Consider the following 26237-nt stretch of genomic DNA (forward strand, 5'->3'; position numbering starts at 1 on the left):
AGATATGACTGTAGGGACAGACAGAAGAGAGGAATTCGAAATTATTAAAGCTCAGTTTATCCATGCAGTGGAGATTATGACATCTACCACAGTGAGTTGCTAGTAGTAAAAGAGAAAATGTAAATTATATGGCTTTCGAAATGCTTGACAAATAATATATACACAATAACTACCCAATGCTAGTTTCACAGAGGAAAATGGACCTGGTATACAGATAACTCTAAAAAAATTTAAAATGTTTTAATTTTTGTTTGTTTGTTTTAAAGATAAGGTCTTGCTGTTGCCCAGGTTGGAGTGCAGAGGTGCGAGCATAGCTCACTGCATCCTCAAACTCCTGGGCTCAAGTGATCTTTCCATCTTAGCCTGCTAATTAGCTGGGACTACAGGCATGTGCCACCATGCTCAGCTTAAAAAAAAGAATTTAAATTTAGCATGATAGAACTGAAAAGAGCTGATAGCTGGTTCACCTATCTCATTTTAAAAGGCTTCATAGTGTGTTAGTGGCAGATTTGCAATTTCATTGCAATTTCTGTCTTTTTCCTCTTAACACAGGCGGTTCTAGGACTCCTACAGTTTATAAGAACACAACTTTAAGCCTGGGCAACATGGCAAGACCCCAAATCTATGAAAAATACAAAAATTAGCCAGGCATAGTGTCACACTCCTGTAGTCCCAGCTGCTCAGGAGGCTGAGGCGGGTGGATCTCTTGAGCCCAGGAGATCAGGCTACAGTGAGCTGTAATCATGCAACTGCACTCCAGCCTGGATGACAGAGTGAAAGTTTGTCTCAAAAAAGAAAACACACACACACACACACACACACACATACGCACACACACACATAATTTTAAGATAAAAGAAAGCTTCCAGGGTGGGTCACATCTAAGCCGGCTCCTGAGGATGAATTGTATTCTCAAAAGTCAAAATACTGGGCAGAGCTCTTCAGATACGAGCACAATGCATGCACAAGTGCTGGGGCAGAAAAGCACAAGCCATCTTCAGAGACTGTGCATGGCACCCTCAGGCAGTTTTACCTTGAGTAATGAGCGGCCTGCGCATCCATGTGCACAATCATAGTTTGTGGATTGAATAACAAAAACATCATGTGAAGTCTGAGAAATTTTATCAGGTTCCAAAGGGACAAATATTTTAAACATGTTAAGGCTTCTGTTATTGTGTCTCCTTTATGGGAAGAGGTTGGTGGGAGGAATTAAGACTAAGAGAAAGTTAAGATGAGAGAGGGCATTGTAGGCATGCTAAGATTTATGGCCTTTCTCCTGCAGATAAGCAGGAGAGAGAGAGATGTCAAAACATACTTTGGGGAGATACAGTTGGATGAAAATATGTAGATTAATTTCTGTAATGTCCAGAAAGAATACAGAAATCAGATTTTAAGAGTTTCAGGCAGTGTCCTTTCTTTGTGCTCCCTCTTCCCTTCATTGAAAGTTAAAAGTCAAAATGTAAATACAGACTTAAAAGGGTAAATCATTCTGTTTTTCAACTTTATTCATGTGAACTCAATGTTTTAATAAATTTCTCTTCCCAAGCCACATCAAAATGGTTTGTTATATTGTTGATTTTATTATTATTGATTATATTATTATTACATTAGCATTTGAATCTGTGAAGTGCTGTAAGACAGTTTGTTAACAATTTGTCATGACACCTCTGCTGGGTGGGAGGATGACACACATCATTATCATTATTATTAAGATTTTCTTTTACAGCTGGTATCATGATAAATGATTTACAGATAAACATAGCAATACTCAAGTTATTTATATCAAGTTAATTAATCATATTGATTTAACATCCTGTTCTGTTATTTAACTTTTCCCCTTTCTATGTTAGTTTTAGATCTAATTTTAGAATAATTAAATAGAATTTGAAATTTAGAACTCTGCATTAGTACCTATATCACATCTGAAAAATTATTAACATTTTCAGATCAATTTTAATAACTGCAGGTCCTTTATTAGGTTGACCTTTTCTTTCCAAATATTTGACATCATTATAGTTGGAGAATAAAAGTACCTATTGACAGTTTTCTTTTGATATTGAAAGGTCCTGCTTCAGTAACTGCACAGAACATAGTAACCATGTTTTTCTCATCTTATGTTCACTTCCTTTGCAAAACAACAATAAACAGCTGGCAAGTCAGAGATACCAGAGTTTTTCCTAACTTCTCTCTTCCCATATCTAGCCTCATGCAATCAGTCACCAGGACTGCTACTTTACTCTCTTTTATACATGTCAAATACGTTCACTTTGCTCTAGATACAACCTTGAGCCAATATCTTTTCTTCCTTACTGTATTACACTGTAAGCTCCATGAATTTAGGGCCTTATATTCCTCTCCACTCTATCCTCAACATCCAAGCACATTGCCTAGAAATAATTTGTCAATGAACATGTTCATCTGCTCTCACTCTTGTGACTATTTTCTACACTATTATCAGATAATCCTCTCTAAAATGCACATCCAAGCCTGTCTTATCCTTCTTTGCATATAGTTCATTATCCTTTAAGATAAAGTTCAAACTCTCTTTGATGATCAAACAAGGGCCTTTATTATGTGGTTCCATTCTAATTCTTATTCTCACTACATCATCCTTCCAGTGAAAGTAAACACCCATTTTTACGGGGCTTTCTTTTTCTCTCTGACTTTGCTCATGATATTCATCTATAATGTATTCTCTATTCTTTGGACAGGCACTATGCAGGGCAACTGTTTGGTATCATCTTTTTTCCAATGGCATTCCTTGCTCTAGCTTGGTTTGGTGCTTCCTCTGTAGTTTTATAGCTCTTCGTTTCTAATTCTCTCATAGCATGTTTTCTCACGCACATCACATCTAGATTTTAGGTTCTCTGAGAACCAGGATTGTATCTTATTGTTATACAATACATGATCTATAAAAATGAACAAACAAATTACACAGAGTATAAAATACTATAAAAATACAATGCTAAGGGGGCCAAGTATGTGGTTTAAGAGCACTCTATTGCCATCCAAATGAATTTGAACAAATCTTTTGATTAAAGAATAATTTTCATTATCTGTAAATGAAAGCTCTTAGACTCAAGCTAGATCTCAGGCAAGTCTTTTTTTAACACTCACAGTCTGTGCTATTATATCTAGAATGATAAAATTACCAAGCAGGGCAGAAGTGAGCAGGGAACGACAATTGATTCAGACTCCTAGAGTAATGATCTTTCTCCTTGCTATCTACAGTATATTAAATGCTTTCCTTTTGGCTTCTAATTCTGTATGTTTTGCTCAAAATTTAGCTAGGAATATTTATTCATTTCTTTGAACTATATATAAACAGTAAGAGACTACTCATTGAATATAGATGATCCTGTAACACTTTCTTCCAACGGCAAAGAACCTATATAACTAGCTATTCTTTGGAAGTTGCCTGTAACTCCAAAACTCTATTTTTAGATTTGCTATTACACCATGTTTCTAACAGAACTGGGTCAAATTGCCCCTGATGACCACACTTTCTGAATAAGGGGAAAAAAATATGGAAAGTGGAAGCTACTTTAACTGTCAATTATATTAACCAGTTGCCACAATGATTGTTAATAAGAATATTAAGGAAATTATTAGGCCTTCATATTTTTACTTTTTCTACTTATCAATAACACTAGGAGTCAATATCATAATGGGAAACAACTTCATACCCACTATGAAGTTTATAACAAAAAAGATGAACAACAAACAACAATGTTGGCGAGTATGTGAAGAAACTGGAAATATCATACATTGCTGGTGAGAATGTAAATTGGGGTAGCTGCTTTGGAAAACAGTTTAGCAATTCCCAAAAAGTTAAAAATAGAGTTACCATATTACCCAGAAACTCCACTCCTAACTATATTCCAAAGGGAATTGAATATATATGTATCTCCCCTCAAAACTTACATATGAATGAAGAAATATTTATAATAGGTAAAAGTAGAAAAATACCCCATGAAGGGTTATGAACTAATGAATGGATAAACAAGAGTGGTATATCCACAGAAAGAAATGAAGCATTACATTGATAAATGCTACAACACAGGTAAACCCTGAAATATTATACTAAATACATAAAAGAAACCAGACATTAAAGTCATATATTATATGATTTTGTTTATATCAAATGTACTCAATAGGTAAATCCATAGAGATAGAAAATACATTACTGGATTCCAGAGGCTGCGGGATGTGGGGAATGGGGAGTAACTGCTAATGGGTATGGAGTTTCTTTCTTAGGGTGATAGAAATGTTTTGAAATTAGATAGTGATGATGGATACACATTTGTGAATATACTAAAAACCATGAAAAGTTACACTTTAAAGAATGGATTTTATACGTAAATTATAAAAACAAATAATTCTGGAGATGAAGTTGATGGTTAAGAACACTAAATATTATATTTTCGTATTCTGAATTTTTTAAATTACAGGGATAAAGCTTTCCAAGTGGTTAAAAGAGAAACTGTCTTTACACTAAATATACACACACAGTACTTTGCCTCTCTCTCTCTTTCTCTGTGTGTGTGTGTGTGTGTGTGTGTGTACTTATTTAAAAGCCAAAGTAAAGTATTACATGAAGTTCTCAACAGATAATTGCATAAAATCATGATATACAGAATTCACTCTTGTGATGGCTATATATTAATGGAAGCCAGCTACATTTTAAAAATTATTTTACATTTTTTATATATTGACAAATTATAGTTGCATATATTTATGGTATACAAAGTGGTGTCATGACTTTTGAATACAATGTGGAAAGATTAAATTAAACCATTTAACATATCACCTCAAACATATCCATCACCTCAAATATTTAACATTTTTTGTGATTAGAACATTAGAAATTTATTCTTAGTGATAATGAACATACAATGTATTGAAATAGATTAAAATTTAATAGAAAACAACATTGAAATTTATTTGTAAACATAAAGAAATATTTTTTCTTAAAAGTTATGATTTATAAAGAGTTCTTCTCTAAGACCTTAATTTCACTGATAGATCTACTTGGTATTTCTTTTATGTAAACCTTTATAACTTATAATAAATAACTTTAAAAGTTATTTTCATGAGGACTAAGATGAAAAGTTGAGTGGATCAAAATATAGATGGGTTGGAGTTACAGCACTGACCTCTATCTGATTTTTCTCCCTCAGGAGATATATCTTTAAATAAACAATTTCTGTTTATTTAAAACAGAATATATCTTTAAATAAAACAAATTTCTGTTTGTTTAGCCTTGTATTCCTTTGGTAAATTTGGTAAATTCATTTTTCTGCTATCTTGAATAATTTGTTTATGAAGTCTTCCAAGACTTTGTAACCTATGCTTCAAATGGAATGAATATAATTTTTCTACATTCTTGAAATAAATATTTTTATTTTACATCCATTTTTATGTCTGAGAACTAGTATTTTAGAACATTGAAAAACACCTTTTGTGTTAAAACAGTAAATATTTTCATTTACTATGCATATATCTCCAAGATTAATGCTAAGGCAAAGACATTTCAGAGACTGCATGATGTGTATTTCTCTCTATCTAAAAACATATATAGTATATATACAACTTCAAATTCTCCTTGGAGAACAGCGGGAACAAAAAAACATCCATATCTATCTAATCACATACAGACTTACTTACAAAAATTACTTACAAAAGAGGTGACCCTCAACACTTTTCTCAAAACAAAGGGAAATTTATTTTATTTAATAAGAAAGTCACAACAATTTTTGATACTATAATTTAATTTAGGCCTTCTTATCTCATTACAAATACAATTTTTATTTAGTAATCTAGTTTGGAAATACTGAAAAGTTTTTCAAGTTTTATTTACACAATAGTGTAAGTCAATCCAAGGGTCACTGTGAACTTGTGGTTCTTTGTTACAACTGCAACCTAATGTTCTATTCAAAGTCTTATTGCAAAATCCTCAAAATATGATGAATCTGGGTGGCAAATGGTAATAGAGGCAATCATTTACATTCAGGTCTCTTATGAAGAGGCAATGTGTATGTACCTAACATCATCTGTAAAGGACCTATATTCTCCAATGGATTCATTTAATTTATTTGCAGGGTGAATTTTTATGTTAGTATTTCAGCCATAGGTGACTTATTGAAATGAAAAGTTAAACTTCCTCAGCTACAAAGAACAATAAAAACAACAAAGCAAACTTCTAGAACTTTTAGTTTTAAAGGCACTCAAATTTTACAGGTAATTCATCAAACACCACTCACATCCACACAGAAATCAAATACATTTAATTATGTATTGAAATATTTTTTCTTACAAATTAAACTACAGGCAAAATCCAGTTGCATGACAAAACTGCATAAACAGTAAAATGAAAATGCTCTCATTACAAATACAATTTTTACTCAGTTAAAATATCATCCAAACTTATATTTGTATCATGTCTAATATTTTTATGATTCACAGTGATATATAAATTAATAATTAAATAATGAATTCAAAGCTCTTATTTCAAATGTCTTCTAATCAGTCATTTTGTTATCTTATATTTTCATAAAAGAGGCATTGTTTTAGATGCATGGGATTATCGTTTTTTATTTTTTGCCAAATATATATGTTAAAAGGAGGAACTGTAGAATCATACAAGGCGTAGATTAATATAATGTGAGATAGTGTATCAGAGGTGATACATGCCACGCAAGCAGCATATTTTACATTCTGACACACATTTTAAGCCTTCTTTTACTCACGTAATTTAGGCTTCAGATGCATTTCTCAATTGCTCACTGCAGAATAGCTGCAGAACTGAAACAAAACCTTCAGTACAAAAATGACAACCCTTTTGTTTCCACTAAATCCGTATTCTGTCATCCACTGGCAGGGAGTTTTCCAGTCATGTTCTCTGCCAGTCCTTACCAGTTTGCCAATTATACAAGCTGCTTCCCAGACATCAGACACAAATTCCACAAGACTGCTGTGCAAGCGTACCCTAATTAACCATCAGCTTAATTAGACAATTTACTGTGTAATTAGCAGGCAATTAGTCAACACCTCTCAGATCTTATTGACTGCTGTGACAGCCTTTCAGTCTTTGCACATTCCAACATTCCAATACACAACAGCGACCATGTTTCTAGCACTCTGAAACCCTGTACGACATAGTTCTGGACGGAGAAGTGGGTAATATTATATAACAAAGGAAAAAATCAATATGGAGCCTGTCCAATTACTGAACTGTTTATAAACTTGTCTTTTATTTAATACCAGAAGTCTAACATTAAAACTACTTTAATATCTGCTTCAAAATGGTTATAGAGCCAACTTCTTAATATGTTCTATTTCATGTTTTAATGTAAAACACTTTAAATTTACTATGAATTATACCCCCGATTGGCTCTGCCTATAGTAACTTGAGTAAATTTTCAATCAGTGTATCAGAGATCTACTCAATTAAATCCAATTAATGTGGCCTGGTGCAGTGACGCACACCTATAATCCCAGAACTTTGGAAGGCCAGCACAGGAGGATCACTTGAGCCCAGAAGTTTGAGACCAGCCTGGGCAACATAACAACACCCTGTCTTTAAAAACAAAACCAAACAGAAACACATTAGCCAGGTGTGGTAGTGCACGCCTATAGTCCTAGCTACTTGGGAGGCTGAGACAGGAGGATCACTTGAGCTCAGGAGTTCAAGGATACAGTGAATCTACACTCCAGCCTGGATGACAGTATGAGACCCTGTCTCAAAAAAAGAAATCTTACTCATGTTAATAGCAGTTGTAGACACAAATCCTACAAACACTGATAAAAAGTGCTCTGGGGTAGGGAAGCGTTTTTTAGTTTTCTTTGAGTCAGCTACGAAGAAATCACACCTCAGCATTTTAATGTTTACATTAACACTTTACATGAGTTACATGATTTTAACATTTAAATTAACACATTAATTTTACATAGAAAAGCATGTTTACAAATGTATTCCTCTGAGGTCATGTATATGTCATATAATACCCACTGCTCTTTGTAATGCAATTTCTGACCTATATAAAATATTTTCCATTATCTCGAGATTTCATGACTTGTAACTAATGAGATCCCAACAACTGTAACAAAGAATGATCCTTTATCGCTTTTCTTTCAGAAATATTACAGAAGAGGATAAATTTTATTGAATGATTTAAAAGTCATAAGATCTTCTGTTAACCAAAAAGAACAGGAGGAAAGAATTTGTGACCACTCCTTCATAGTTTAATTGGTTAACTGCCACATACATTTTCTAACACCTGATAAACTTCCATAAGTATAAAACCACTATGACAACATAATTATTTCTGCATTATCTAAACTTTGCCATTAGCAGCAATTTTCTTTTTCTTCTTTTTGAATGTAAGGGCCTGAAAATTACCAGCAAGAACAGTTATTGAAAGGCCACAGGTTGGAGGAATCTAGAGAAGTCCATTGTGGCCTTATTGGTACCAGGTAAAGTAGAATGAGATGAGGACCGAGAGACAGGCAGGAGCTGTTTGCTGACATGATTTGTACAAAGATTCTGGATTTTATTTTAAGGGCTAAGAGAAGCCATTGAAATGTTTTAAGCAAACAGCCACGATCTGATTTAAGATGTCAAAGTCCACTCTGACGGTGGTGTGGAGGCCGGAATTTAGGATAAGAGTAGAAGCAGCAAGACTCTTTTAGGAAGCTGGTATACTATTCTGTGAGAAATGATGGGGGCTGTGATGTGGGTGGTACCAGTGGAGATGGGAAGTGACTTTCTACCCTTTAATAACTGATCACATAACTATTAATGTTTTAGTCTGGCATACAGATTATGGTAATAAGAATTATAACTTTTATTGACAGGGTATTTTACATGTTACGAATCATTTTAATATATTTATTTAAAAAAAATTCAATCTAAGCCTCACTAGAATACTGTAAAAAGGCAGAGCAGGTATTATGGTCTATTTTGTAATTCAACATGTGGAAGTTTAGATAAGTTAACTAATTTATTAACAGTCAAATTACTTACAGAAGAGGTAACCCTCAACACTTTTCTCAAAACAAAGGGAGACAACTGTAACGTTTCAATAATAACTAGTATGATTCACTATGAAAACCATAATTTAAAACTTAAGAGTATATTGTGCCTCTCTAGCCTTCTGCATGCAAGCTTGTTTTTCTCTTTTCATATTATAATACTTAATAAGATAATATTTGTATACATTTTATTTACCTGTGGATCTCTGTTGTCTATACAATATTTCTCTTTATATTGATCAACAGGAGATGTCCAAAAATCACACCAATGTTTGTTTATTCCCCCCATTTAAAAGCCATATACTAAGTGGCTGCCTACCTTATGCTGAGTATTGTAAAAGATCCAAATATCTTTGTGGCAATCTCACGTAACTCCAACTATCAGGAGTATAACTGAGCAAGGACCCCAGCTGCTGTGCTGTGAATGAATCCACTCCTGGATTTTCACTGCAGCCATGCTTCCTGTGGCTTAGCCAATGACTGAGCAGGGCAGAGATACTAAGCAGGCCCCTTCCTGAGAGACATGAAGACTCTAGATGGCTTTGTCGAAGCTTTCTCAGTCTGCAAGGCACTCTATGATGCTCCTACTCAACCTTTCTTTCTTCTCTCCCCAATGTATGGCTTGACTTCTATTGCTGTCTTATGGCTCTCCCAGTCCTCCTCAACACCCTCCATATTGTCTCCCACAATTATTTCACCTAATCAAATCCATGCATGTTTAATCACATCTTGGCAACGGTTTCTTGGAAGATCTGAACTAAAACCTGCTGCCATATTAAAAAAATTAAATGTTACTGACAAAATCCAGAAAAAAAAATCTCTATATGCAAATAGTTGTATGAAATGTAAGGGTTTTTAAATAATGCATTTTCATATACTAAATGTCCATAAGTAAAATTCAATATGGATATTATTAATGCAACAGAATATTAAAATATACATTTTGGCTGAGACCTTAAGGGGCATTGAGATAAATCACAAAAATAAATTTTTCCCTTACAGAAATGTTCAAGTAGATAACAAAAATCTGCTTAGGGAACTCTTACACCCTTCACTCCAATATGGAAACAAAATGTTAACAAAAAGTTAGGGATGGATGTTGGAGATTATGACATGGTTTCTTTGGAGCATGCTTCTGGGATTATATGAGTCCCACTGTCATCCCAAATCCTGAGAGACAGCTTTTAAAAGGGACCCTTCAGAGCACTTTATATGTGTTCCCCGCAGTTTTATTTTCTTTTTTGGAGGTTGGTGCACCGTATACAGTGTCCCACTCTGCTTGATATATCGAAAAGGTGTGAGTTGTCTGTTGCTAAAAGATGAGCTAAAAGAGATGCAACTGTACAGCAACTAGCCTATATTCCTAGAATTTGTCAGGGGAAAGGAAATGTAAGATTTTCCTGTGGACCAATTAAGGGACCCATATTTAAATAAGTAATGTGAAGTCACCTTAAGCTCTGTTCAATATGGTCCCTTGGAAAGGCAAATGTGTTGCAGCAGAGAAAAGCTAAGTTACTCAATAGCTTCCTAGGAGTTTCCTAGAGAGCAAGCTATGACCAAAGATTCAAAAGCACCATAGGGAAGAGTTCCCAAGTGATGGGAAGTATTTTTGAAGAATGCTTGGAGGTACCCATTAGATAAACGTTAGTCTAAACAAAAGTATGTCTCCTAAAGAGGAATATTATAGCTGTACAAAATTATATTTAGCCATGAAAGTGAAAATACTCTTCAAGAGGTAATAATATTTATCAATTTAAAATTCATTATATTGCTGAACAATGTATTACATTGCAAAATAAAACTGGTTGATAAGAGGAGGGAGGTAGTCAGTCAGCAGGTTCCCTTTGCAGGGCCTGGTGGTCACGAGATCTGATCTCCAAAGGCTTCCATTCAGGAAAGGGGCCGGGGGGTGGGGTGGAGTTTAAAAGGAATCCATTCCCTCTTGTGTCCATTGAGTAAAATTCTATAAGAGCTCAGACAATGGAGAGAAGATAACCATTGATTAATGTAGCTCCAGGGGACTTGGGTGGTCATTGGCCTTTTAATATTTGAAGAACAATAAATGTCTCCTTACCGATAAAGAATGGTAAAATTAAGGTATAGACGATGCAAACATAAACCTGGTGATAAAACCAGTTTTGTCAGAAAAGAGAGTTTGTATGAGGAGAGAAGTGAAAGTTATTGTTGAAATGATAAACAGTAGTTGTATTATGATTAACAGTCTCTTCCAAATTGAATTATGTAATTTCTTTGCTTAAACCTCTTAACAACAGGTTCCCTGTTTATACAACAACATTTAAATTCCTAACCCCACAGGCCTTTCTCACTATCTCTACAGCTACTTATAACATTTCATGAGACATTATGCTGCATCTTACATATGCTCGGTTCTCTCATGACCGTGACTATCCGTGTGCTATCCCTTCTCCCTAGAATAAAGACAGTTCAAATGTGAAGAAAATAAAAAAATAAAATATTGAAAATAAAAAATTATTAAAAAATTAAAATTATAAAATAATTTAAAAAATAAAATATTGCATATTAAGTAACATTTTAGTATTAAGTAACATTTTAGTCTAAGAATTCCTGTGGCCTTAAGTCATCTTACATCTTTTGGTGTATATATTTTCTGAACTACAGTTTAAGTTGTCTAAAGTGAATACCATACATTACACACATATACACACACACAAACACACACTCGAAAAATAGTATATATAAAAGGACATTATAAGAGCTCTCAAAATACATCAAATCTTGCCCAGATACCTAAAAATGGTACTTTCTTTAATGACATTTTAAGCTAATTTTTCACATAAATAGAGGGTAAATTTGGCAGGATAGAAGTGAGAAACTGTTTCAGACACATGAGATATTGTAGAAAAACATGCAAATGAGGAAAGCAGGGCAGGATGAAAAGGGCAATGGGCTTAGCTGAAGTGAAAGAAGCAGATGAGGCAGTGGGGTAAGAAAAGGTAATTGGTGTGTGATAGGGCAGTTTGAGTGAATATTTAACTAACACACCAGTAACTTCCTTGAGTTAGTGACACTTTATTTCTCATGACACCTCATTTCAGAAATAGTGGTACTTGAACATTAAGCACATTGCTAGTCCTTTAGGAAAAAGGAGCATACAGCGAACTGTAATTTTACTAAAACAGAGTCAGTCTTGTAACAAAATAGCCAATGTAGGTATGCCTTTAATAAAAATCTGACAGTAAGGTAATCATGGTATAAAGTATTTAAAATGAGTATAAAGAATATCATTACATAGTAGTTACTAGAATCTTATTAAAAAGCAATAAAGAAAATACAAAGGCAAGGAGAATATTATGGAATTCAATCCAACTAATTTCAACCAAAGATTGTATCATCTAAACATACCCAAAATATGGAGATTTTTAACTGGTTAAATTTAAAATTCACAGAAGAATTATGTGAGACAGAATAAGGGTAAAATCAGTTTCTCAAACAGCAGGACTGTACTTTAAGGAAATTTCCATTAACCATAATTATGAGAATTTTCCATTAACCTTGACACCACTTGCTTTTTTTAAAAAAGGAAACTGAATAAGAGGTACTTTCCATTACAAGTTAGATTCATCTACCAGCTAACCCAGATCAAAATTGTACACGTCAATTTATATTATTAAAAAGTCTATTTGAGTTTCACTTTGTCCACTCTACCAAAATGATTAACTAATTAACAGGTGTGAAATCACAGCCTGAAATGGGAAAGTGGTGAAGATGTAATTATATTGGAAAATTGATTAGTCTGCTTCATGGTTAAAAATATTACTTTGGCTATAATTAAAAGATTTTTACTTAATATTCGAAATACATGCATTAAATTGTGTTTGAAAGCATCTTAATCTATATTTTTTACTTAACAGACTAAGTCTGGCAAACATGGTATGATTGCGAACAGAGACTGATTTAAAACTTTAAGGATAGACAGTGGTGTATTCATTAGATTCTAACTTGCAAGATTTAGCTTCAATATTGAATGTGTACACACGAGTGTGCAAGCACACATACAGGTTCTTTTGTTGATGAAGAAATGAGGGTTACGTCATAGAAGAGCTTGCTAAATAGTCTTGAAGTGAACACTTGGATGAAATGTCCCATAGGAGTACTATATGTGAACTGTAGCCATTTAATAAACTAATTCTTTATAATTGGAGGATGAGTTGATTTTATGAATTTCAATAAAATACGTCTAAGTTATAAGAACCTAGCTAGGTGATAAACTATTAGTATACAGAAGTCATCTCAGTTTTCAGCATGTTAAAAGTCTCCCAGATAAAAAGCTTACATTGAATTTATTTAAACAATTATAACTCCTAGTTAATGTATATTATCAGGAAAACAATACTATGCAATAAATAGAAAATAATCATATACAAAATTGGAAGCTAGAACTATAGCAGCAAAAATAATGCACTGGACTATTGTTAATTTATTGTTTCATAGACTTTCATGATGAGGTAATAGATAAACTCTTAATAATAAATAAGTAAATCAGTTTTATTTAATCTTTTTAAAAAATCCAGATCTTTATTTCTAACAAGGTTTCCAAAATGAGTTTCAAAAATAAATTGTGATGTTTTGTATTGTAATCCATAGAGAATTACCCAGGCTCTAAAATATTATTACATGACATGTTTGTGAAATTTTCAACTTTAAATATTATCTTTAGCATTTACAGTCCTGACAATGTTATTCCTCAGTTCTCATCTCGTTGATAGGTGCTGGCAATTTGTGCAATTTGTGCAAACGCAGGAGCAACTTCCTCTCAATTAAGATAATGTGGATTGAAACAAGTTTCTTGGAATCCACATGGGAGAACAGACAACCTACATGGTAAAAAGTCTGCAAACCTTATTATGAAAAGAAAAACAGAACTATTTAGAAAGGAAAAAGAAAAGGCTTATGGATAGGACATGAGAGCTGTCTCCAAGTAACTGAAGAGCTGTCATGTGGAATTGTGGTTCAAATTAGAATACTATAATTATTCATTCATCTAACAAGTATGTATTGCGTCCTTTCTATCTGCCAGACATTGTTCTTGGCACTGGGCATGCTGTAGTGAGCAAGAAAGACAATATCTCTCTACTTACAGAGCTTACTTCAAGTGGCTAAAACAGAAATAGATGTCCAAGAGCATGGCAATTTCATATGGTGATAAGTGCAGTGAAGAAAAAAACAACCAATGTAATGTGGGATGGAGAGCCTGGGTTTTGAATGGTTAACAAGAGCTTCTCTGAGGAGGTAACTTTTGATCTGAGAACTGATTAAGAAAAAAGAGCCAGTCATATAAATATCTGAGAGAAGAGCATTCCAGGCAGATCAAACACCAAGCAAAATGGTCCTAAGACAGGGAGGAAGTTGCCATGTTGGAGAACTAGAAAGGGGGCCAGTGTGGCTGGCAAAAAATTGGCTTCTGATGACAGCAGATTCACAGAAGCTGTTAAATCAAAATGCTCTCTTGTATTCTCTCTGAAATTGCACATAGAAATATAAAATTTCTGTGCAACTTTTATTTCTCAATAGAAAGACAAGCATAGGTGCCACTCTATACGAAGCAGTGGGTAGAAAGTCCTCAGTGTAAATGCTCAGGCTGAACTCTAAGTCTCTGAAGACATGAGTGCAGTCAAACTGCCTTCATTTTAGACATAAAGTAATATGGTCCAGAGAGGATACATTATGTAAAAGCATGATATAGTGGAAATTGCAGGGATTTGTATCAAATAGACCTTGGTTCAAATCCTGACGTGGTGGATTTCAGTGTTTTGATGGGAGGGGCCATTTCCATGCTGTTACAACCTGATCTGGTCTTGTGATGTGCCCTAAAGAATGGAACACAATGAAAATTATATTGTGCAACTTCCGAGCCTTGGCATCAAGAGGATTTGCAACTTCTCCTCCTGCCTTTTTTGTAGCACTGACAACTTGTGAACAAGTCCAGTGTAGTCTCTTTGAAGATAAGACCATACGGAGATACAGGCCTAATCACGTCAGCTGAGGACCCAGGCATGTGAATGAAATCATCCAGGACCGGCCATCAGCCAGCCACCAAACAGTCTGTCAACTGATTGCAAATCCATGAGTGAGAAGAACTAATATCATGTGAAGCAAAGGCAAGTCAACCCAGCTGAGCCTTGGCCATACTGCCAAACTGTCGAAACAAGAGCAGAAAACGTGTTGCTGCTTTTGGTAAGGTTGTCTGATATGCAGCAATAGGTACGTGATGCTGAAATAGGTTATGTTTGCTAGCATAACAAAATATAAAACATGTGGCCCTGGCTTTGGCATTGTGAGGCAGGCAGAGCCTTGAAAAACCAAGAGTAAGATCTTAGTAAAGGCTGGAAGAATGGTGAACAAACTGTTGTAGAGGTTTAAAATATGGTATGAAAATTGTTATTGGAGGGTTGGAAAAGTGGCCTGTATTATGTGGTGACAGAACAATTGGCAAGAATGTCAGCAGTGATAATTTGGAAAACAGAAAGTGAACATAATACATCTCTAGAAAGAACACTGAACGTGTTCAGTTGAGTGTTTCTACCCAAGTGTGATAAGGTACTAAAAGAGAGAAAAGAGCTAAATAAGGCTATATTTAAATTTGCCATGCAAAACAGACAGAATCCAAGGGACCTAGGACACACTGGGTCAGAAAATAAACTATTCTTTATATTTGTTCTCTCCTAGATGGAAAAAAGGTTCTCAAAATAAAGTACCTTAAAGATCATCTCAAGAATATTGCAGTAAGACAGTTTGTTAAGACTTTAGAAAGACCTAAGGCAGGTCCTAGTAGATTCTCTCAGGGCTTCTAACATTCCTAAAGACATTGTACCACAACAGCAAGGCATATCCAAAAATAAAAGAAATCTGTTTAAAAAGAATTATGGATGTGACTTTGGGCATCAATTTAGTCCTTAATAGATTCAAAATTATGTTAACAGAGTTTTATGATGATATCACCATGAGTTAGGATTAAAAGAAACAATTCAAAACAAAGAGAGGAATAGGGTGCTATAACTTTATTTGGGCAGGAACAGGCTGACAAAACTACTCAGCTGTCAACAGGGGCCATCATTAGCCATTTACAAAACAAACAAACAAACAACAACAAAAAAAAAAAAACTCAGAGGAGAAAACCAGTAGCCCAGAGATAATCAGTAGCCCAGAAGGCAGAGCCAACAGTAGATAGGAAAAATGTATTAGGACATCCTTACCAAGGAGCATAAATGGACCCTGATTCTCCATCCCTGGAGCAAGAGGCCCTGAAAATATGTGCCAAACTGAATTTCAAAATTGCTATGGACAAGTGATTGCTATGTGCCTTCCATTTCTCCAGTTTCTAAAGGAGATTTTATCTACTGTGGTTCTCTTGACTGTATCGTTTTGTGTTGGGTATATGGAAGATAGAAAACATGTCTTTCTATATCACAGAATCCTCAGTAAAAAGAAACTAAAACCAAATAATCTCATAGGCATTTGGACTTGATGAAGATCATAAGATAATGAACCTTGAGCCTAATGCCATGATTAGATGATATTTTGGGTGTCTTGGAAAGGAGTGGATGCAGTTTACATTTGGGAGGGATGTGAATTGCTCTAATCAGAGGGCAAGTTAGGACTGTTTGCAAAGATGGCTGCAATAATCCTTCCCTACTTCTATGCATGTCCCTTTGTAATGTGGTTTTGCACTTCTTTTTATCAATAAGTGGATGGTATTTACCTACTTCATGAACATACATTGACTTTGTAACATGCTTTGAATAAAATACGGAAGTAACACTGTGTAGACTTTGGAGTCTTTGTGTCAAGAGATCTTTCAGCTTCCACTCTTGTCCTCCTAGAACACTACTAGCCTTGTGAAGTAGCCTTATCAAACCTAAACCAGCCACCTTGATAAGACATTGTGAGGCAAGAGAGATTATGAAGAGATAGAGAGAAAAGCTCAGCCATCTCCGCAATTATAGCAATCCCACATGATTGCTATATGCCCCACATGAGGCTCCAGACACATTAGTGGAACATCTTGATCCCCAGGGATCCAAACAACCAACTGTAAATGCATGATTGAGGCCAGCTGACACCCTGTGAAGTAGGAGAACTGATCATGCGTGCTGAGCCCAAATTGCCAACCCACATGACTATAGTCAAATAGATAACTGTTGTCTTAAGTCCTGGACAATTTATTTAACTTTCTCAGACTATTATTTCATCTGAAAACAATACTATCTATCTTATAAACAGATTGTGAGGATTAAATGAAATAATTTACAAAAACATTTAGTCTATACATCCTAAGCACTGAATATAGGGTATCTAATAATGTGAATAATGATAACAACTATAACAATGACCTATAATATTACACATGTCCAAGACAGTGATTTAGAAGCAGCTTTGGATTAAGACCAGGGCCTCCCAGGCCAAAGTACCTTTCCCCACACTACACTGCTTCTCCATATTTGTTAGATTTTTTTCTAACGTATTTATTTACTTGTGGAAAACAACAACAACAACATTTTATTTTAAATAATTCATTTATATTAATATTACTCTTATTTATTCCATGATGTATCAGAGGGCAGAACTATATATAAAACATGGATGAAATTTATGAGAAGGGTGATATGGGGTCAATAAAAGGAACATATTTCTAAAACAGATCTTTCTACAGTCATACAGGTTATATTGCCTTAAAGATGTAGTATATTCCTTGTCACTAAAAGCATTCAAGAACAGGTTACATTTCTTCTCTCAGGACTACCAATACATGCAGTTAGAAGTTAGGCCAGCCGATTTTTACGTATCTTCTTAATATTGTGTGATACTTGCCCTGTTTTCTCAAAAATTCTCTGCATTTTAAAGGCTTATACAACAATCTAAGTCTTAAACCACAATCTATACATTCAGAAATTTCACTGACATTTTCATTTTTAGACACGTATAGATGCACTATAGAAAAGCAACATAGAATATGAAAATTTTTTAATTGGCCTTTTCTCCTTCGATTGAGATCAATACTCAAAACATTCAATTCTTTTATGTGTTAACTGTCTGTTCATATACTGGGAAAAAAATAAACTCGATATGCTCTTGCCAAAAAAATCTATGTATTCATTTATCCAGCGAATATTTATGAAACATTTATCAAGCCTCTCCTATACATTAAGCTTTGTGCTATGGGGTATAAGGTTGTGTTTTACAGAAACAGCTACATAAATACTTTGATGCCAAAAAAAGAGGCTTAAATATTTTCAGTCTTTACTTCTTAGCATTTTATAAGAGAGACCTATTACATGGATACTTATTTACCTAATTTGATACTTATTAAAACAAAATCTATTCATTTGAGATATTTTCATAATTAAAGTTAATCACAAGTTAATCTATGTATAGAAAGGGCTTACAAGTGAAGTGAACTGTTGCTTGGGTTTAGATTTGATTTAGGATAGAAATAAATACTTCTTAGTTTATTTATCTGTGCAGTAATAAAGCTATGCAACTTGCAGTTTCATGTTACAGATTTGCAGTATATAATATGTAGCTCTCCAAGAGAACAAAATTTATGGACAAAATTAATGAAAACAAAATGTTTTTATCTACTTCCTATCAATATAATGTGAACACAGGTCAAGGGGTTATTTTATGTGAAGTCCAAACCATTTCTAATATTCCCTCTTAAACAGATCACTTCTCTGTTTTGTCATGATAATTTAGCTTTAATCAAGCTTGACAGATCGATTTCTCTCCCACCTTTCAAAATTTAAACTTGGAGCCGATATACATTTGTATAGAAAAATGATTTCATAACTATATTTTAAATATGACTTTACTATCTTTATAAAACATAAATAGAATCTCAAGAAAAGCAACCTTGTTATTTTGAAACATTCTTGGAAAGACAGATTTGAAGAGGAAGAATATAGTTAATAAAAGCCATTTTTGATGTTATTTAACACAAAAGCAAACAGATCTTTTCATATTTGACATTAAAAATATGATCATTTGCCTTTCTAAAGAAAGCACATACAGCTTTTATATAGACTGCACAGTAAAGAATAATAATATTTCTGTTTACTGAGATATCAACTGGCATTTCACTGTAAGTCAATGGTCTATCGGTGCTACAGCATATTAGACCTCAATCTGGCATCTACAAATGTCAAGAGTATAAAATATATATATATATACAGGATGAAAATCAAAAGCATGTTCCAAACTCCCAAAAAAATAAAAAAAGGGAAACAAAGTTCACGCAAACATATTTGCTGCAGAAATCAGTGCAATATTCAGCTGTCAATCCAGAAAAACAACGAGGGAGCCACACTGTCAGTAGGACAGGATAATAAAATTTCTAGCAGATGTTCAGTCAGGGCTCTAATTTTCACCGAACTCCCTTGGTAAGCATTTAATTTCTTTATCATATGCAAGCTTGGCAAATTGTACTTCATCAAAATTGTATTGTGAAATATTAATATTTCATATGATAACAAAACCCCATAGAATAACCTTTGTCATATTAAGAGCATCCAAATTTCAAATGTCAAGATTCTGAATTTTAATTCATTTTAAATAGATTCTTCAATTGCCATAATAAATTATAATAAGGCTAATCTAAATTGGTATACTATAATGTCACCGAAATGTATAGTACATGTAATATTTTAATAGACGTCTTTAGTAAAAGGCTGTGGGGAAATAAGTATGTTCATACTACTGAGTTGTATACTACCAACATTTCATCAATAGGAAAGCATAGAAATAAGAAATAAGCACATACGATGTAATTATATATTCACAAATTTAATCACTAATTAGGAACCAGATAAGGAAACAAAAAAAGTAGACCTCTATGAGGCAAACGGACTACTCTGCAAAATCACGTATGGAAAATAATCTTTTTTGAAAATGGCATTACATAAGCCCAAGGTGGCTTCATTATTTTTGTCATTGCAATTTGCAGAAATATGTTTAAAATAGTCTGCACAATATTTTGTTGTACCCACCATCAAAGTAAGTAAAATAGGGTTTCCAAAAAACCCCGCATGGTTACATTTCATGTGCCAAATTTAATTTCCATTTGTTCATAACTCCCCTTTTGAACCAGCATCACACACTTCTAAATTGATAGATTAAATTCAAATTGGAGGTTTAGAAGGAAGTTAGCTTCCACATTTATTTCTGCTGGTGATCCTAATAAAGGCAAGTGCTCCTAGGTTACTGAAAGACACAGCATCACAAATCAATGCATGTCACCAACAGTGTAAAGACTGATGTCTCTGATTAATCAGAATTCAATTATTGCAAGCGAAGAAAACATCAAATTCAAAGCAGCAAACACCTCTTTTTTTCAGCTATAATTCTTCACCTGTGCCCAATTAGCCACCTATTTCGGTTTACATATATGTTTTTTAATAGCATAACTAATATAGTCAGTATATGCTATCTGAGACTCAGTTTTCTCCAATAGATTAAACATTTGATTACAGCTTCTCAGTAATTCTTAACGAATCAATTGAAACAAAGACAAATATACTATCAATATTCTACAAGGTTATAAACAATTGATTCATGGTATTCTAAAGCTGAATCTAGTATATTCTGTTACGCTTCACACTTTGTTTAATAAAATATTCAGTTGATCTATTTGAAAAAATAACTTCTCTTTAAATATAAAAAATCTTTACGAAGGATTTTTTTCCTGCACTGTTTTTTTTTCTGACTTTTGAGAATTCTCTAGATTTTCCTGACCACACTTACACATTGCATCTTGTAAAGCTGTCAGAGTAAGACAGCCTTAATGTTTTAGCCATAATAATGCCAGCTATTGATCCTAGTAAGAGGAAAAAGAGAGAATGTGCTTAATGGGGCATGTTTGTTCTCTATTATTTTCTTTGCCTAAGGATAAAGCTGATTCAAATAATGATACTCTTTTCTTAGTCACTAAATTCACACATTCATATACATTAATTATTACTAACTACCAGTTAGTATTAAATACATTGAGAGGTTTAGCATTTGTAATTTATCAATAAATGGTCTAAAAATGTTAAAGTCTGTTGTTCTTTTCTAATTCAAAACCATATAAGGATGCAATCCTCTTGTATAAAGCATCTTACTTTGAAAACATGCATTTATATGCTTTGTGTACTTTAAAGACTCAATCTCAACTTTAATACGTAGTTTATTTCCTACTAAGTATAAGATGTCCACTTCTGGTTAAGTACAAAGTCATAATGTTAAATGAAACTCAGGGTATTTGTTTTTGAGAAAGGTTTCTGTATTCCAAATTTATAAAGAATCTATCTTATCACCAATACCAATAAGTTACACTGAGATTCTTTTCAACATAAATTGAATTCCAGAATTTTGTGCAAACCAAATCAATTGTGTCCCTATCTTTGAGCTGAGGCATCCAAAAATAATGAAACAATTAATAATACAAAAATAAGAGTTTGAGATTATTAAATGAAAAAGTCACTTTCATAATATTTATATCTTTGTTGCTTCCTAGACAATACTAAATGAGCAATATATGCCTGCCCCTTCTTCCATGGGACAGAAAGGAAGGAAAGAAACTAAAGATTAATGTGTAATGATAGGTCTTGTCAAATAGTTTAATAAGTAGTATTTCTTAGTAAAAAAAATCCATTATAATGTTTATACCTTAATTAAAATATATGATAGACATTTCTATATGACTTCAATAATATTTTCTTACCTTATCAAGAGAGAAAGTTTTGGTGAGGGCAAAACCCCATCCAGCTTCAAAAGCTCTTCGAATCATTGATGTGCTGGTGGCTGGAGTTGCGCTAGCAAGACCAAAAGGATTTATAAACTTCAATCCGGCCATTTCTACACTAATGTCCACCAGATCAATAGGAGTGTAAAAGAGGGGTAGTTCAGGCTTGGCAGAAACGGAAGCTCCATATTGTGACTGCAAAATACAAACCAATACTTGGTTTCATATTACATCTAAATTGTCCATATAATATTTTACCAAAAAAATCACTTCAACACAGCATCCGAATTAATATAGATTACAACAGTCTGTTTACAATGAAAAAAACTGGCAAAAAGTCAGTGAGCAGTGAACTGAATTCATATAATATGGCCTTTTAATTTCAAAGGCAGTATGAAGAGTACTAGCAGAAATAAAATCAATTAAATCAACAAACAACTGTATTTAAAACATACTGAGATTCAAATACAAAAGGGAATAATTTTAGAATTTTTCTCCCTGGTCCAATCCAGTCTCTTTGTACTTAAGTTATGAAAATACCTTTAGTGCTCAGAGATATGGGCAACGGCAAGTCAGGAGGCCTAAATTCAATTTCCAGTAATTTCACTACTGTTTAGGCGATTTTAGGAAAGGGAACTAATAAGTCCCTGTCTTTTCTTCTCTATAGTTTTCAGTATAGCAGCAGGAATGCTGCTTGCCTAATTTCTACCTCACAGGAAGACTGGAAAATTCAGGAAATCATAAGCTGCAGGGAGACATTTAATTTGGAAAGTGGGTAGTGTTCTCATGCATTACGGGGGTTTGTTCTTTTTTCTGAAACCAAATAGGTCCCAAATAGTTTACGTCAAAATCTTCGACTGGCACTCAAAACTGTAAATTTACCTTTGTTAAATGATCATGGTAATAATGCTTCTTTGCAGGATTATTGGAATGATTTAATAAAAACACTTACTCTTAGCACATGGCACACTGAAACATCATACATAGGTGCTTGCTAAATGTTGTCTCTTTTTCTGACTGGGGAGGTTATTAAAGATTGCATCAGGCCTTTTGTTTGTAAAGTGTCTCTCTCACTCCATTCCTCCCTCCCCTTCTCTCTCTCTATCTCCAAAAGACAAATAACATTGGAAAATATAAAAAGGATGAATTTTCTCAGCCAAAGCAGTTACTGAATGGACAGGGCTAGTTAATTCAAAAGTAGAAATCCATTCTCTTGTGAATCATCACTCAAAAGAAAAGTTATTTGAGCAGAACTTTAATTTTATAGGAGTGTGTCTTGTGTAGATAAAGATTTCCATGACTTGCATAGAAATTATTTCTGGCCCTCCACCACTTACAATGCAAAGCAAAGTTCACTTAATATGTAAAAAGGCATCAAACTTGTCAATTGAAACACTAATGTGTCTCTGGTACATGCAAAGAGATGCCTGATGGGATCCAGGCTTCAGCTATGGCAGGCACCTTCTCCCAGGGATGTTCTGGGCTTCAAGGCACATTTCTGAATATTGGTTAGTCTGGGTGTGAACATAATTTTTCTGTCCTCACACAGGATTGCTATACTATTAAAAGGATTATTAGCAAATACAAAAGCTACAATGTAAAATATAGGAAATTGGAGGTTAATTTGAGGTGTGTGTATGTATATCTGTCCACGCATGGATGTTAACAATGACAAAAACTGGCAAAAAGTCAGTTAGCAGTAAACCGAATATATACGATATCATCCTTTTTAAATTTCAAAGGAAGTATGGAAAGTATTATCAATTAAATAAACAAACAAACAACTTTATTTAAAACATACTGAAATTCAAACACAAAAGGGAATAATTTCAGAATTTTTCTCCTGGTCCCACTAACCAGCCTCTTTGTACTTAATTTATGAAACCTTGCTTGATGGTATTTTCTTAGCTTTGTGTAATCATAATGTAAATTCAATCAAGCAAGTTTTAGGGTTAGACTAAAGAAGAATTTCCTGACACTACAGGTTGATTAATATCAGTAAAAGTATAGAAGCAACTTCTCTGTCTTAGAAACAATGTTGAGCCAACTTGCCTTTGATGGCAATAGCATAACTACATATGGTCCCATGTGTCTGTACTTTACAAGGTGAAATAAGTGAACTTACAAGTATTCTTCTCTTTTTATGGCTGTGTGTTGAAATATCTATTTTTTTCAATCTTACAGATGAATTTTGGTTTGTTCATAATTGTAGCTATATATGGCATTAGGCAACAGCCCAAGGAGGCAGATATATGTGTAGTTCAACTTGCATTGCTTAATTTATGTAGTTTTAAATAAATAAGTAATTGCTTTGAAATTCTTACGAACATTGCTGCCTTAATACTTAGAAAGAAAATGATTTGGACACATTTTGCAAGATTTTCCTTAAGCTTCAAAACAAAACAAAAACCAAACACAACAAAGCAAACAATAATAAAATACACACACACACACACAGACACAATTCTTTCAAATGAGAAATACAGCTTCTTATATATTTTTTCTTTTATTCACAAAAGTGCTACTATGTATATGTGTTTATAATATAATCTAAAATCTTCACTTGTCATAGGCAGTCTTTTTTCATACTGTGCAACACAGGGCTATTTTTAGCTTTGTCTTTGTCGTGCTATAGCAACTCAGTCTGTTCAGCTTCATCATATATCCAAGCCCTAATGTACACCTCCTTTTCTGAATTTTAAAAGCCTGTTCCCCCTCTGTACCCTTGCTCAGAGAACTCAAGCATATCTACTTTCAGCTCCCATCACAAGGTTAATTCCTCCCAAACCTCAATTGCAATCTCCAAACTCAGATTTCCAAGAGACATCAAGGCCTTTGGATGTAGATGCTTTGCTCTTACACTTTAACCTCAACTCTTTTATCTCATCATATTCCCTCCTAACAAATATGTTATTTAGATTTTCAATTTCAGAAAATACTATTTTTCCATTCATCCAGTAGTGTTAGTAAATAACAGATATAAGGAAACAACCTAGGTGTTGAACAATGGGGATAGGTTCCATAATGGCTATATTGTAAAAAGGAATGCTATGCTAGTATCAGAAATGATACAGAAGAAAATAATTTATTGACATGAAAGAGGGTTTATTATGTACAAAGTAAAACTGTGAGTTAATATTATAATATTATATGTAAATTCCAAGTTTTTGGTGGAAAAACACATATATCTATTTTGCTGTACGTTTCTGTTTATCCATCAATCACAAAAGATAAACATCAACATGCTAGGAGAATTACATCTCAGAATCAGGGTTTTAGATGACCTTTAATTTTTAAATTTTTGCTTATTATAATTTTCATATTTTCAATAATAAATACAAGTTAATTGAGATAGATTTGAAGGTAAACTAAAACAATTTTTAAAAGCCATGTGTGTTAGTTCATTTTTACACTGCTGTTAAAGACATGCTCAAAACTGGGCAATTTACAAAGGAAAGAGGTTTAACTGGACTTACAGTTCCACCTGGCTGGGGAAGCCTCACAATCATGGTGGGAGGCAAGGAGGAGCAAGTCACATCTTACATGGATGACAGCAGGCAAAGAGGGAGAGCTTATGCAGTGGAACTCCTCTTTTTAAAACCATTAGATCTTGTGAGACTTATTCACTATCAGGAGAACAGCACAGGAAAGACCTGGCCCCATGATTCAATTTCCTCCCAACGGGTCCCTCCCACAACACATGGGAATACAAGATGAGATTTGAGTGGGGACACAGTCAAACCATATCATCCTGATACTCTAAAACCCATTAAGTGAAGCTCAAAGTAAAGAGCCTGCCCTTTAGTTTCCTCCATAGAGTGTCCTGAATCAACTTTTTCAGTTCTATGTATTATTATGTAGAGCTAGAACAATCAAAGAGACTATCTACTTTAAAAGCTTTATTTTACAAAGAGAAAACAAAAGCCAAAGGAGGCTAAATGAATATCTGTAAGTTGCTCAGTTACTGGTAAAGCCACAATAAAATATATAGTTTGCTGTCTTGTTGGCTTATGTTCTTAAGCCACCCCTCAGAAATAAAATGTTTCAATCATTGCTTCTCCAAAATACTTTGTGCCTCCCTACCTCTGCACTTTTCACATTCCATCTTTCTTCTCCATCTGCTGAAAATTACCCATTCTAAAGTCCTTCCCTTGTCATTACAGAGAAATTATTTTATCTGAGACACTTATAGATCATAAAAAATATAATTATTTTAATTAATTACATTGAAAATATTTGGTTATATGTTTAAGTATTAAAATGCATTAACTTCCCCATATTTTTCAGGAAACCAACTTAAAATTTCTTTGCATGGCATAGTCTGATTTTTTTATAACATAGTGCCAATATACCTGTTAGACTCAGTTATTAATGTTCATATAGAACTATTTTCATTCATTTACTTATTCAGCAGGTATTTGTTAAGAACTTGGGGTTAAAAAGA

The 26237-nt window shown here is 33.8% G+C and overlaps 1 protein-coding gene and 1 long non-coding RNA gene across 7 annotated transcripts in view; one reads left to right on the forward strand and one right to left on the reverse strand.

Moving 5' to 3' along the window:
* DPYD (dihydropyrimidine dehydrogenase) overlaps positions 1-26237 on the reverse strand; it is an 843317-nt gene that overhangs the window by 416211 nt on the left and 400869 nt on the right. For 4 of the 6 annotated variants that reach the window (XM_017000507.2, NM_000110.4, XM_047448076.1 and 1 more), the window contains one exon: positions 21773-21988. The exons of the other annotated variants lie outside the window; for them this stretch is intronic. In XM_017000507.2, the coding sequence (XP_016855996.1) occupies positions 21773-21988 (216 nt within the window). The remainder of the gene's footprint in view (positions 1-21772; positions 21989-26237) is intronic. 6 annotated transcript variants of the gene reach the window in all.
* On the forward strand, positions 3697-15050 carry LOC124904225 (uncharacterized). The gene is made up of 3 exons (XR_007066238.1): positions 3697-3774; positions 13782-13896; positions 14976-15050. It is a non-coding gene; the product is annotated as an uncharacterized LOC124904225 (long non-coding RNA).

This window comes from Homo sapiens, chromosome 1 (genome assembly GCF_000001405.40).
Source record: "Homo sapiens chromosome 1, GRCh38.p14 Primary Assembly".
In the NCBI taxonomy this organism is placed as follows: Eukaryota; Metazoa; Chordata; class Mammalia; order Primates; family Hominidae; genus Homo; species Homo sapiens.